At 52.1% G+C, this 14,652-nt stretch overlaps 1 protein-coding gene across 1 annotated transcript; it reads left to right on the top strand.

Moving 5' to 3' along the window:
- The first annotated feature begins 1,482 nt into the window (after positions 1-1,482).
- TLE7 (TLE family member 7) lies at positions 1,483-13,557 on the top strand. Its single transcript, NM_001367365.2, has 10 exons — positions 1,483-1,568; positions 10,117-10,523; positions 10,645-10,667; positions 10,814-10,872; positions 11,212-11,427; positions 11,535-11,776; positions 11,975-12,116; positions 12,263-12,416; positions 12,796-12,869; positions 13,171-13,557. The coding sequence occupies exons 2-10, from the start codon at positions 10,213-10,215 to the stop codon at positions 13,273-13,275; spliced, it is 1,326 nt and encodes a 441-aa protein (NP_001354294.1). The 5' UTR covers positions 1,483-1,568; positions 10,117-10,212; the 3' UTR covers positions 13,276-13,557.
- Positions 13,558-14,652: the final 1,095 nt, after the last annotated feature.

The following is a 14,652-nucleotide window of genomic DNA, read 5'->3' as shown; positions in this document are numbered from 1 at the left end:
CCCAGAGATGGATGGGACGACCCCCTGGTCATGCAGCAAACCAGGGGCTGATGTGGTCTCTCACTGGGGCCAGAGGAGAGTTTAGAAGGCCAGGGCTCACCCCAGCCTTCCCAGTTGATGGACAGCCTCTGCAGGTCTCTGAGACATGGCAGTCCGTAGAGGGGGACAAGAAGTCCTGCAGCCCTGGCTTCCCGCAGGGTCCACAGTTTCTTTGCAGTGGCAGGATCAAGGCTCGGACTCATGGAAGATTGAGAATCCTAGAGGACATAACCTGATATCTCAGATCTGCCACCAATGTCCCATGTGACCCTGGGCCTCTCAGCCTCAGGCTCCTGGTCAGCATAGGGTGGGGATGGTCCCAGGACTCTGACGGTTTTCTCCCTCTCCGTAGGCTTGTTACTGTCCAGGGCAGGTCATCTGCTCAGACCTCAATGACTGGAGGGTGAAGAAGGCAGTCAGACACCTGCAAAGCCTCGTGAAGTCACATGACCCCACCACCCAGGAGACTGGGTAGCCTTGGTGTTCACCACACCAGTCTTGAGCCATGTGCGTGCAGTGGAGGCCTTACCAGGACAGCAAGAAACCTGAGCACAGGAGACTCCAGAACCCCGCACAGTAGCACTTCTGCTTGTCTTAACTGGAGCCCTGGGCCTGGAAGGGGGAGGATTAAAGTCTTTCTCCTTCAGTCGGGATCTGCATGTTCTGTCCCTGCAGTGCAAGGTGCACACACCCACCTTGGCCTGTCACATTGGAAGGGACCTCAGAGAACACCTGGGCCTGCTCTGGCTAGGTCAGGAGGGGAAATAGAAGCTCAAAGGAAAACATGGCTGTCCTGTCTCAAGGCACCCGCAGGTAGAGGGGAGAGCCTGGTGCGAGGCCTAAGCAGGGCGTCCATGCGCTGAGGAGCAGAGCTCCTGTGTCATCTGCACAGTCTCCCGGAGGCCTGGGGGCCCTCTCTCTGCAGGGGCTGGGGGTTCTGGGAAGAGGCTCTGGATTCTCTCCTGTTCTCTCTGCCTTTGAAATCTCCACTCCTGCACATCTGTTATCTTCTGGCCTGGAGAGGATGAGGACATCCTCCGACACATTCCATTGCACTCCATTCCATTCCAGCACTGTCCGCAGGCCCCTTCCACAGGCCAGGGGTTGACCACCTGCTGGGGAATCCTACATGGGTCAACCTTGGCCTTCTCCTGGGGAACGCCGCAGCCTGGGGGAAGGCGAGGACCCCTGTAGCCCCTTCCCCTAGCTCGCAGGCCCAGAGACCCACTACAGACCAGGTGGTCCTTTAGCACATCCTGTACCGGGCAGGGTCTCAGGGACCTCCCCTGCACGGTCTGGGCCACCTCTGCTCGCTTTCCGGCTTTCTCCTCCTTCTGGATCTCTCACTGTGCCGCCTGTTCCCCAAGTGGCTTCAGTGTTCCTGAGGCGTGGCCCCCACCCCCTGCCAGCCACCGAAATCCCACCCACCTTCGGCTCAAGCCCAGCCTCCAGGAAGCCTTCCCGACTGCCCTGCGGCACCAAGCCTCCGTCCTCTGGTTGCCCCGAGGGACCTCAGCGCCCCCGCCACGGTAAGGGGCTGTTCTGCCGTGGATCCCCGCGCGTCTGCTGGTCCCCACCCCGCCATCGGCCCGCAGCCCCGCGGCCCACGTGCTCCCAGGCTGGGGCCGCCCGCGGAGGTGCTGGCGCCGGCGACGCCGGCTGGAGTTGGAGACTGCGCGTGAGCGCCCGAGGGCCTGTCTGCCTATGCGTCGGCCGTGGGCCAGCGCTTCTGACCCTGGGCCTCGGCTCTGGCCTCGGTCTGGAAGGGGGCAGGGGAGCGGGGCCCTGCGTCCGGAAGTCTGCGCCCTGCGCGGTGGGCGGAGAAGCCACGAGGAGTCCTTGCTGCCCCCGGCCCTTGGTGCCCCCTGGCGGCCGGCGCGCTCGCTGCACCCCTGCCCGCTTTCCGGGAGCGCGGGAGGAAAATCCAAGAGCCAGGCCCTGGGGCGCCGGCCAAGCGAGGGCTGGACCCTGCCCGACCCAGAGGAGTAGCCCTGTCACAGCTGCCCACGGCCGGAGTCCTGGGGCAGCGGGTCCCTAACCTAGCAAGCCCGGCCGCGCACGCCGCGCCCTGCAGGCCAGAACCCCAAGGACGCTCTGAGTGGTTAGTGCAGCCATTGCAACGCGGTGGCGCACGCCTGTGATCCCAGCACTGTGGGAGGCCGAGGCGGGAGGATTGCTTGGGGCCAGCAGTTCAAGACCAGCCTGGGCAACAAAGTGAGACCCTTGTCTCTACCAACAACAAAAAAAAGTGAACTTTTCTTACAAAATAAATCGAGTGAAATCCTGCTGCGAGGCCCACATTGTAGAGTTGCTGTCGAGGACTGTGGGGGAGGCGGAAAGTTGCCGGCGGGCTCCTGAGAGTGACTGAGCAGGGGGCTTTGGTAACAGGTCCCTGGGGAGATAAGAGATGGACCCAGGACAGAAATCGGAATGCAGGACTTGGGAATGCAAACTTCCCATGGCAGGGACGGGACGCGAGGTGGGTGGGAAGAGCAATGTACGATGCGGGAGACGCCACCGTGCTTGTGGGAAGGGCAGCGTCACCATGCTAGGAGGAAGGGGCCTTGGCAAGGAATGGGGAGTTGGGGCTCCCCGTGACAGTGAGGGAGGAGGTGGGAGGAGGGGCCTGGCCGTGCATTGTCCCTTCCAGGTGCCCGCCAGAGGGCGCGTCAGCCCTCAAATAAAGATCTGGAGGCTCACAGTCGCAGTTCTGCCCAGATGACCCCATCTCTGACCTTTGTGTTGGCCCACTAGGTGTTGGGGTCCCACCAGCCATTTGACGACAGCTACCCATAGCCTCCGGGCTGGGACACCTGCAGCTGTGTGGCTCTTCTAGGGGAGCAAAGGGAAGAAAACCACCAGCTAAAGTGCCTGGAGTTTGCTGGCTAAAGGGGAAGAAGGAAAAATGCTGTTGGGATTTGCAGGACCCCTAACTCATGACCCCATGTCTGGTTTTGGGTCTTTCTTGTAAAATACACATAACATGAAATTTAACACTTTAGCTATTTTTTTTTTCTTTTGAGGCGCAGTCTCGCTCTGTTGCCCAGGCTGGAGTGCAGTCGCCCGATTTCGGTTCACTGCAACCTCTGCCTCCTGGGTTCAAGTGATTCTCCTGCCTCAGCCTCCCGAGTAGCTGGGATTACAGGTGCCCGGCTCATCTTAGCTATTTTAAAGTGTACAATTCCGTGGCATTAGGTACATCACAATGTTGCACAACCATCACCACCCTCTAGTTTCAGAACTTTTTTGTCATCCCAAAAGGAATTCCAGACCCATTAAGAAGTGGCGTCCCATTCCCCTTTGCCAGTCCCTGGCAACCACTAACCTGCTTTCTGTCTCTAAGGACTGGCCTTTTGTGGATATTTCATGTAGATAGAATCATGCAGTATTGGCCTTTTGTGTCTGGCTTATTTCACATAGCATAATATTTTCAGGTTCACCCATGTGGTAGTGTGTATCACAGCTTCATTCTTTTTATGGCTGAGTAATGCTCCGTTGTATATTTACACCACATTTTGATCCATTCTTCAATTGGGGGACACTTGGGTTGTTTCTTTTTGGCTACTGTGAATAATGCTTCTGTGAACACTGGTGTCCAAGAAATGTTTAAGTCCCTGTTTTCCATTTTTGGGGGCATATACTTAAGAGTGGAGCTGCTGGGTCACATGTTAACTCTGAGGAGTTGCCAAACTGTTTTTCACAGTGGCTGCTCCGTGGTATTCCTATCAGCAACGTAGGAGGGTTCCAATTTCCCCACATTCTCACCAACATTTGTTATTTTCTGTGGTTTTGGTGGCTGTCATAGCCATCCTAGGGTGTGTGAAGTGATCTATTACATGTGGCTTTGATTTCCATTTCCCGGATGACTGGTGATGTGGAGTGTCTTTTTCTTTTAGCTGGTTCCCAGCCTCCAGTCTTGTCCCTTCCCCCCATTCTATCCCTAGAAGAACAGCTACAGTCCTCCTTCTGAAACCCAACTCTGATTATGTCTCCCCCAGCTCAGAACCACCCCCAAATGCCTTCCAACTCTCTCTGGAAAGGAGGACACATTCCTGCCCTCCCTGCCTCCAAAACACACACCCTCTGTGCTCCAGCCCCTAGAAAATTCTCCCAATTGCTAAAATCCATTCCTTTGCCTCTGCCCTTCTGTCTGTCTGGAACATTCTCCTATGCTCTCTGCTACCCTGCTTCCCCCGCTGAGTCCTTCCATCCTTCTGACCTTACGTACTCCCTATCACCTTTCACTTCCAGGTTATGTGACTTTCTCTGGGCTCACACACCCCACCCCTTTACAGCCCTCCTCCTCCACCATGTCACTTTCCACTCTGACTTGTAATCTCCAGTTCAGTGGTCAGTTTCCCTTCAAAGAGGGAATTCCACACGGGTCATGGTCAGCTCTGTGGGCCCAGCCTCATCTCCTCAGTGCCCAGCACAGCGGGGGTCAGTAAGACTGTGCCAACTGGCCACGGGGATGGAAAGGTGGTGGGGAAGGGGCACAGGTGTGTTTGATTACTATCATTAGCCCTGTTTGCTTTCTCTGCGTGGAATCAACTTTACCCTGGTTGTGACAGTTTTGGTCAAGGGGGTCCCACCTGTTGCCCACATACACCTGAATTTCAACTATGGCACATCCTGAGCTCAAGCTGGGTCCCTCTATCCACGGCTGAGGGACAACAGGATGCACTCTCTGTCCATCTGGTTATTTCTAAAGCACCAATTGCCTTTAACTTGCCTCTGGGTATAAGAACCACGGCTCTCTTTGACTCTTGCAACTCCTCGGGCTGTCCCTATTTTCGCTTTTTTTTTTTTTTTTTTTGAGATGGAGTCTCACCCTGATACCCAGGCTGGAGTGCAGTGGTGCGATCTTGGCTCACGGCAACCTCTGTCTCCTGGGTTCAAGTGATTCTCCCTGCCTCAGCCTCCCGAATAGCTGGGATTACAGCCGCCCACCAATATCCCTTACCTTTAGCAAGCAATCTGCACATTCCAAGTTTAATTACAGCTCCTTATGGTTTCTTTTCTTTTCTTTTTTCTCTTTTCTTTCTTTCTCTCTCTCTTTTTTTTTTTTTTTTTGAGATGGAGTCTCGTTCTGTCACCCAGGCTGGAGTGGAGTGGCGCAATCTTGCTTCAGGGCTCTGCCTCCTGGGCTCAGGTGATTCTCCTGCCTCAGCCTCCTGAGTAGCTGGGATGATAGGCATGCCACCATGCCTGGCTAATTTTGTATTTTTATTAGAGACGGGTTTCACCACGTTGGCCAGGCTGGTCTCGAACTCGTGACCTCAGGTGATCCACCCGCCTCGGCCTCCCAAAGTGCTGGGATTACGGCTGTGAACCACTGTGTCCGGCCACTCCTTATGGTTTCTTATAAGTAGAGACACTAACAGAAGATGGTGTGTTCCTCCTCCTGCTTTCTGAGGATGCTCCACTCTACAACAGAGTAGTTTCTAATAAACTTGTTTCTTTCACGCTGCACTCTGTGACCTGCCTTTAATTCCTTCCTGCGTGAGATCCAAGACTCTTGGGGTCTGGATCAGGACCCTCTCTTTCCAGCAACATTATCTTGAAGGCAATAGGCAGCCACAGACGTTCTGGGGACAAGGGGTGTGTAAGTGAGGCAGAGGGGAGAAGGGAGAGACAGAGAGCTTTGGAGATTGGAGGTCAGGGGTGGTAAAAGATTCCTCTGTAAGTAGCAGCCATCTCAGGATTTCTTCAAAAGAAGGGAGCCAATGAATGAGAAAGAAGCCAGAGGAGAGGAGACAGTAGATTCAGTGGGGGAAAGGGGGTGATCAGGGAATGGAGGCAAAAGCAAGGAGTGAAGGAGGAAAGGGGTCCAGCTTCATCACCCCTTCCTCTCCTTCCAGAAAGGGATCCTCAGACCGAAGGGTTCCCCCAGTGCCTCTCAGATGCTGGTCCCCAGCCTGGTGGCAGCAGCAACAGCATCACCAACACATCGGGAACTTGTTAGAAACACAGTCTTGGGCCCCACCCATGCCTACTGAATCAAAATTTCTTTCTCTTCTCTTCTCTTCTCTTCTCCCTTCTCTTTCCTTTCTTCCTTCCTTCCTCTTTGTTTCTTCCTTCCTTTCTTTTCTTCTCTTCTCTCTCTCTCTCCTCCCTCCCTTTCTTTTCCTTTTTTTTTTTTTTTTTCTGAGACAGAGTCTCACTCTGTCACTCAGGCTGGAATGCAGTGGCGCAATCTCAGCTCACTGCAGCCTCCACCTCCCAGATTCAAGTAATTCTTGTGCCTCAGCCTCCCAAGTAGCTGGAATTACAGGCACGCACCATCATGCCCAGCTAATTTTTGTATTTCTAGTAGAGACAGGGTTTCACCATGTTGGCCAGGCTGGTCTCAAACATCTGACCTCAGGTGATCCACCTGCCTCGGCTTCCCAAAGTGCTGGGATTACAGGCGTGCACCACCATACCCAGTTAATTTTTGTATGTTTAGTATAGACAGGGTTTCACCATGTTGGACAGGCTGGTCCTGACTTCAAGTGATCTGCCCGCCTCGGCCTCCCCAAGTGCTGGGATTACAGGTGTGAGCCACTGTGCCCAGCCCTGAATCAGAATTTCTGGGAGTGGGTCCACCACACTTTTAACAAGGCCTCCAGGGGATTTGATGTGTGCTCCAATGTAAGAACCACTGGCTGAGACAGCCACGAAAAAGAGAGTGTTCCTCAGTCTTTGCTTTCAGGGACACTGGTAAAAGATTAGAGGCCCAGAGCCAGGCACGCTCAGGCCAGAGCAGGGGAGGAAGAGGAAAGCGGCCCCGTGTCCCTCCCACAGTCACCCACTGTTGGCTTCAGGCCAAGATCAGCCTTCTCAAGCAAAGGAGATTCACCTGGAGCTGAGACTCTGACTCTTGGCTCTGGCGAACAGCTCAACTCAACTCCCCATCTTTGCACAGACGCTGGCTCTTGTAGGGTGGTTTGAATCCAGTCCAAAGACGTATCCCCCTAAAAATGTCTCCCTCTATCTTAACTCCTACCATGAAAATACTTGGTGGGTCCCTGTCTTACTACCCCCAATTCAAGGGCTCATAGGTTAACCTGAGATACCGCCAGCAGCAGCTTGGCTCAGCGGGGTTGGTTGTGTGGCCACGTCTGGTGATTGATTGACAGCCATTCAGGGCCAGGATACCTGACCGAGATTCTGACCCAGGGCTTGACAACCCATTAGGCTCACGTTTAAAAGCAGCAGCACCGCAGGATAGGGGCAGCACCTGGGTGTGGAAGGGAGGGTCTGGGGCTGGGAGAGGATGTGGGGATTCTTATGCCTGGCTGGGTCTTAGCTTGGCTGACTTCCCATGTCTAGGGTTTGACCTTCTTCCTTCAGAGGTGAGTTTCCTGCCATGGGGGGTTTGAGTGAGCCCCCAGACCAGCATTCTGGGGGCTTTGGAAAGAGAGTTGTCTGGTAAGAGGGTGGGGAGCTCTGTGTTCCTAGCTCTGGGAGAGAGAAGAGAAGGGAATCGGTGATACTGACTCTTCCTCCTGCTCTTTCTAGAAAGCCTTGTTTTATTCTTAGGGTGAAATTCTGGCAAATTTGGAGGCTGAAGCCCTGGTTAAATAGTTTCACTGCTTTTAAACTTTATGTAGGCCCCAAAAGGGGGTCTGAGCAGTGGTGGTCTCTGCTGGGAGTTTCCATGCTCCAAGCTCAGCCCTGGTGTCTCCAATTAGAGGAGCCTGACGCAAGTCAAGGAGAGTGCGTTAAATTATTTAAACAACTAAGAATCAGGAGGATCAACATTTGGGGTGAGATGAGAAAGGCTCCAGATCCAACCATTTTTAACATAGGTTTGAATGTCCAGAAATATGCAGAAAAGGTACTGAGTTATGCAGTGACAAATCTCCCTCCCATTCTTCTTTCCTATTTGCCAATTTCCATCTCTGAAAGGCAACCACTGTTTCTAATTTCTTATATACAAAGATAAATTTAATTTCCATTTTTCTTTTACATAAAAGTTGCATATTTGGCACATTTTTCTGAACATTGCAGTTTTCACCCACTTATTAATACACCTTGGAATATTCCATATCAATGTATGCATCCTTGTTATTTTATTTTATTTTATTTTATTTATTTATTTTGAGACAGAGTTTCACTCTGCCACCCAGGCTGGAGTGCATTGGCACGATCTCGGCTCACTGCAACCTCCGCCTCCCGGGTTCAAGCAATTCTCCTGCCTCAGCCTCCTGAGTAGCTGGGATTACAGGTGCGTGGCACCACACCTGGCTAATTTTTGTAGTTTTAGTAGAGACAGCGTTTCACCTTGTTGGTCAGGCTGGTCTTGAACTCCTGACCTCATGATCTGCCTGCCTCGGCCTCCCAAAGTGCTGGGATTACAGGCGTGAGCTACCGTGCCTAGCCATGTCCTTGTTATTTTTAATAGCTGCATACCATTCTACCATATGGCTATACTCTAACTTATTGCACCAGTCTCCTCCCATGGCCATTTGGGCATTGGCCAGACATCTGCCAAATCCCAGGCTGGAATGCAGTGGTGCAATCTTGGCTCTGCAAAGGTTATAACAAACAATGTCCCAATATTGTCACAAACAGTGCTGCTGTTCTCCAGCTTGTACATCTATTATTTTGCATATATCCAAGTGCACCTCTAGGGTACATTTTTAGAAGTGGAAGTACTAGGTTAAAGGTCACTGCATCGGTAATAATGGCGGATATTGCCTTCCTTCTAATAGGGAGGTAGGAAAGGAGGTGGTTTAGAGCTATGCAGGACAGGGTTCGAACCTCCTCTCTGTGTTTTCTAGCAGTTTGATCATGGACCCAGTGCTCTCCAAGCTCCAGTTTTAAAAAATCTATAAAATGGGGCCCATATAGTTGTGAGCATAAAATGAGATCAGCTATGTAAAGCATTTAGTTCAGGGCCAAACACACAGAGAAGTAAAACTCTCCCCTGCATCTTCCCAAGGACAGGTAGCCTGGGCCCCCACCCTGGTGCTTGCCATAGAGTTCGTGGGTGTTTGAGAGCCAGCTATTGAGCCTGGCTGTCAAGCTGGTGGTTCTCACTTGAAGATCCTTTCCCCGCGCATTGTCTTGTCCCATCCCTAAGGCTCCTGATGTGCTCTGTTCATAGAACCCTGGGTCTCTCCAGGGCCTTCCTAGGGCTGGCTGTTGGGCAGGAGCCTTCCTGAAGGAGGGTATTTGGTCTACTTAAATCCTCAAAGCTCTGGTCCCTGACACAGGCCTCAAATAAGTGTACTATCTTCTATTGATTGTTTACCACTAGCCTTGTACAATGCCGAGTATTCTACTTGAGTGATTGCATCCAGTTCTCAGAATTATCCCATAGGGTAGGAAATAGTAATCACCTCCAAGCCAACTTCATCATTAGATAGCCTTGCCCCGTCCAAGTAGGACACCTTATATTCTTATGATCTCTTGGGGTTTCCTCCAACCCCTCTAGGTGAGAGACACATGTTGTATGTGGAATTTCCTGTTGCCTTATATTTTATTTAGCTTAGGTATGAGCCCTCATTTGAAATATGTACAGCCAGATGAAAAGGTGAGTTTGATTTTTTTGAGACGGAGTCTTGCTTTGTTGACCAGGCTGGAGTGCAGTGGCACGATCTCACCTCAGTGCAACCTCCGCCTCCTCTGTTCAAGTGATTCTCCTGCCTCAGCCTCCCAAGTAGCTGGGATTACAGGCACGTGCCATCATGCCCGGCTAATTTTTGTATTTTCAGTAGAGATTGGGTTTCACAATGTTGGCCAGGCTGGTCTCAAACTCCTGGCCTTGTGATCTGCCTGCCTCAGCCTCCCAAAGAGCTGGGATTACAGGTGTGAGCCACCGTGCCCGGCAGGTGAGTTTGATTTTTAAATGACCAGAAATACAGTCCATTTGCATAAAAGGAAAAATACAATGCCTGGCACTAACATCTCAAAGTGCTTGTGTGACGCTTTCACCCTTGACATCATTGCCGCCAACACCTAATGTGAAAAGCTAGTTGGCAACCACTCTTTTGAATCTTTTCACCAAAGGAGACATTCTCTGCCCCTTCTAAAGAGACCCTACAGAGCACATGTGCATAGCTGCGTCTCTTTTTTTTCACCTTACAGGGGATCAGGACACACTGGGAACCTGGTGTCTGTTTGGCGGGTCTATTTGTCAAGTCCTAGAACCGGGTGGTCCAGACACCTCACTGATCTAAGAACATGAGTGGAGAGAAGGAAGAGGCATCGCTCAGAATGTTCGGGGCTTATGGTGAGCCAGAGGAGAGGAGGGATGTGCTGGAAAGCTCTGGCGTTTCCTCTCAGCCTGAGCCACAAGTGCAGCAGCAACTGGGCAGTCTGTTGGGAGTGCCCTGGCAGCCCCCGGGCCCCCCAATACAGCACAGCCCTGCTGATCAAGAGACAAGCACGGTGACCCAGCAGCAGTGGCACCTCCAGGGCCTGGGTAGATCTGAGCTCCAGGCCGCTGGGCTCCCTGATGCACAACCAGGAGAAGCAGCAGAGTCCAGCCCAAGGCAGGTCTTGCTTGAACCTGACTCAGTGGGGGTGGCAAACTGGACTGGGGAGAGGGCATCCCAGCAGGAAGCTCTGTGGCTCACACTCTGTCTCCTCCCTCCCTCTCTCCATGTGTTGTAGCTTCCTACTGGGTTCTGAGGTTGGTGAGTACCAGTCATAGTGGTGCGTGTGGTTGCCCAAGCTGGGCCCCAGATGGGGGACTAGGAACGGGGGCCTGGTGTCAACAGAGCAGGCTTCTCCCTGAAGCGTGGGACTCTGTGAGCAGGTGGGCATTGCTCTTTCCCTGCAGGCCAGCCTTACTCTTCTTCCTCTCCCAGTGAAGAAGTCCTCTCATTGCTCAGAGCAATTGTAAGTGTCCAACTTCATACTCAGGATCCTTCCTTTCCCACCTACCCCCAATCAAGAAACCATGTGTCCACACTTTCACTCTCTCTCCCATAGGTAGGGGGGTGTCCTGGGCTCCTGCTCCTTTTGAGCTATGTTCCCTGTTCCCCCATCCTGAGAAGTAGGGTCTTCAGCTCACAGTGTCATTTCTTCAAGAGCTGTGACCCTGGGAACCAGGGGCCAGGTTCTGCGGTTGGGTGGGTGGATGGGTGGGTGGTTAAGAATCTAGCTGGAAGACGGGGTGGACTGTCCTATTAATGATAGCAGGTCAGGGCCACTGCTACCCACCCTCTCCTTGCCTAGCCCCCCATTCCAGATGAAGTTGTGGTCAGGCAGAAGAGGGCCCCACAGGGCTCCTGGAAGGTTGGCACACTCTTCCATGGAAAGAGAGTCTACGCTGTGGCCATCAGCGGCTCAACCCACCACGTGTACACGTGTGGCTCTGGCTACATCAGGGTATGGGATGAGAGTGCGCTGCATGCGGGGGAGAAGGCCCCTCGGGCCCAGCTGGACTTGCAGGTGAGGGAGATCCAAAGCAGGACTCAGGGAACTCTGACAGGGCCTCTGACGTGAGACCCAGGTTCGGTGCCCCAAGGGGATACCAGTGTGTGAACCCTTCCTTACAGCATCCCCAGGACCGTGTTGTTACCTGCAAGCTGTTCCCTGATGAGCGGAGCCTGATCACAGGGGGTGCGTCCCAGGCCGTGACTCTCTGGGACTTGGCACCCACCCCCCAGGTCAGGGCACAGCTGACCTCGACGGGCCCCACGTGCTATTCTCTGGCTGTCTCCTCTGATGCCCATATCTGTTTGGCTTGTTTCCATGGATTTGTTGAGATTTGGGATTTGCAGAACCAAATCTTGATCAGGTATGACCTCTCTCCAGAGCCACTCAGGTGTACCTGGGGGAGGGCTTGCCAGTGAGGCTCTTTCCCCTCTTTGCATTAGGGCTGGGCGAGTCAGTGTAGAAGATATATCTGGGGTACTCCTAGGGGCTTCCTGACCCTGAAACTTCCCGGGGGCCCAAACCATTCAGTGACCCTCTGAGTTGTTTTCCCACCCACCAGGAAGCACGAAGTTCCTGTATACGGGTCCCGATGTGTGGACATCACCGGCAATATATTCTGGACAGGAGGTGAAGACACCATCCTGTATTCCTGGGACCTGAGGAGCTACCAGAGGCTGCACCAACACAACTTACAGAATGAGGTGCCCGGCTGGCCACCACTGGCAGAATGCCACCTGTAGTGGAGCCATGCATGGAGGCAGGGGTGGGAGTGTGAGCTTGAGAGGTGGGCACAAAGGATGGCGTTGGCAACTTTGAGTGCTGACCTCAAACCTGCTTCCACGAACAGATCCTCAGCATTACCCACGACCCCGGTGAAGAATGGGTATTGGCGGGCCTGAGAACGAGTGATATCGTGTTCCTTCACACTCGTCGGAATGAGCAGTTTAAGGCTCTCATGAAAAAATACACCCGCCACCACAGCCTCAAGTTTGCCTCCTGTGGTGAGTGAGAAGCCAGGTGACACCTCTGGGTGTCCGATTTTGAACTTGCTGTCGTCTCTTCTTTCTCTGTTCACCCCCCTTTCCTTTTCTGGCTCCCTCCGTAATGGGAGATCCTGCACAGAATGACAGCCTGAAGACTCAGGCAGACTGAAGAGGCGTGAACCCTATCTGATTGTCCTTCTGTTGTTCCGTGATAACCATGATCTTGTGTGTGGTAGGAGGGTGGGGGAAGATAAGGGAATGGCTTGGGTTGTGTGTCTGATTTTCATAGATAGGGAAACAGGCAGAGAAAGACTTGCCCTTAGTCTGGTTGGGGACAGTGCTGGAACTAGAATGCAGGATTGGTCTCTGGCCTCTCACCTGTTCGTTCCTTCACCAGGGAGCTATTTTGTGACCGCGATAGATACGCGCCTCAGTGGCTTGGAGGCACCTTCTCTGCAAAAGTTGTTTCAGGTACTGGACACAGAGGGATGCCCGAACCCAGGCACTGGGAGCTTGTAGCTCCAGGTCCCAGTTGGTTGGATTCCAGTGGGTGTTGGAAAACACCTCTGAGATGGCAGCCAGGGCCATTTTACAGAGTAGGGGAAATGAAGACTTCACATCCTATGAACTCCCAAGTCACCTTGATCCCTGAGACCTGGCCCTGTCCTCCACCTGAGCCTTAGGTCTACACTGAGCCTTGAAACAGCCCTAAATGAAGCCTTCATGTCTGGCCCCAAATGTGATCCCTGTTTTGGCCCTTCCATCCATCTAGATAGAGGAGTCTTCAGGTATCCTGTGCTGTGACGTGTCCTCTGACAACCAGTATCTGGTCATGGGCTCTAGCAGCAGTGCCACCATCTACCAGCTCTTGTATTAAAGGTGGCATGCCATGGTCCTGCCAGTGAAGACCCAGTCTTTGGGCTGGTGTGGCTGTGAGGATGGCTTCAGAGTGCTGGACACCTCTAACACCTGCCATCTCCTCTGCCTTAGCTTGGGTCATCCCTCCCCTCCAGTAGCCCGCTCTCAGCCTGCACTCCCAGATTTTAATCAGATGGCTTGGAGCTTTTTCCTTTGTTATCTTCCTACCACTGATTTCTGGGTTTTGGCAGGAAACTTGAGATCCCTTTGTAATGAATAAAATAGCAAAGCAGAAAGCAAAGTGGCTTGGATATGTGTCCCTTTCTTTCAAGTCACAAACTCATTGTGATAGATTGCTTATGCCTTCAGCAAATTTCAAGGTGGGGAAGGAGTTTTAGACCAGACTTAGTTTTGTTTGTAAACTTTTTTTTTTTTTTAAGCGGGAATTTTTGGAATCTTAAAGCTCAAGAAATGTAAGTCCACGTACCAACTTTCAGATTGTATCAGGGAGTTGATAGATAGACCAATAATGCTCAACTCTTGACTCAGGTAGAACTCCTAGAGCTGGTCTAGCCATGTTCTGAGGACAGGTTCCCTTTTTGTGCCTAACTTCAGTGATGAAGAAGCTCCCTGCTTCACGCTACATCATTTTATTTGACTCTTTAAAAGTCCTGATGCTAATTCTGGTGTTTGGTGCTAATCAAAGCTACCTAGCTCACTGTTTCAGGACAGTTTCCTCACGTTTGAAAATGTGACAATGTAGTATTATATATCTGGGCTTCACCAGGCTGGAAAGGGCCCAGCTCCTGGAAAAAAAGCCATATAGGCCTGCTTTCTAGTCTTCTTCCATCAGGGTCCTCTTTTTGGCTTGGTGTTTGTATAGCTGAGACTGCCAGCTGCCCACTGAAGTTCATGGCTCGGAGTTTTCCCTGGGAGGAAGCTGCAATGCCAAGGGCCAAGTATGCCATCCTTTGCAACATGTAGACGTTGTCAGGAACTTAGTTCTTGCCAGTGGATCATGAGTGAATAATATGTGTCAGCTCTGGGCTAGGCCTAAAGAAGTAGGACTGTTCCCTCCAGGGTCTCCTTCCACTTCTACCAGCTCAAGGCAAATGATGTGGAGGCCCCAGGGCATTGCAGAACCACAGGATAGAAGCATCCTGTGTGCATGAGTCAGACATCGAGATAAGCTGTTCACTTTGGACTATTGCATGGAAGAAAACAAACCCAAAGGAGTTATCACTTATCTGTTAGGATGGCTAGAGTAAAAAAAACAATAACAAGTGTTGACAAGGATGTGGAGAGATTGGAATCCTCATATATTGCTGGTGGGATTGCAAAATGTTGCCGTCACTTTGAAAATGTTTGGAAGTTCTTCAAAATGCTTAACAGAGTT

Source organism: Homo sapiens, chromosome 16 (genome assembly GCF_000001405.40).
Source record: "Homo sapiens chromosome 16, GRCh38.p14 Primary Assembly".
NCBI classification, from domain to species: Eukaryota; Metazoa; Chordata; class Mammalia; order Primates; family Hominidae; genus Homo; species Homo sapiens.
The sequence above is the reverse complement of the archived record's forward strand: the minus strand, read 5'-3'. Positions and strand labels throughout refer to the sequence as shown.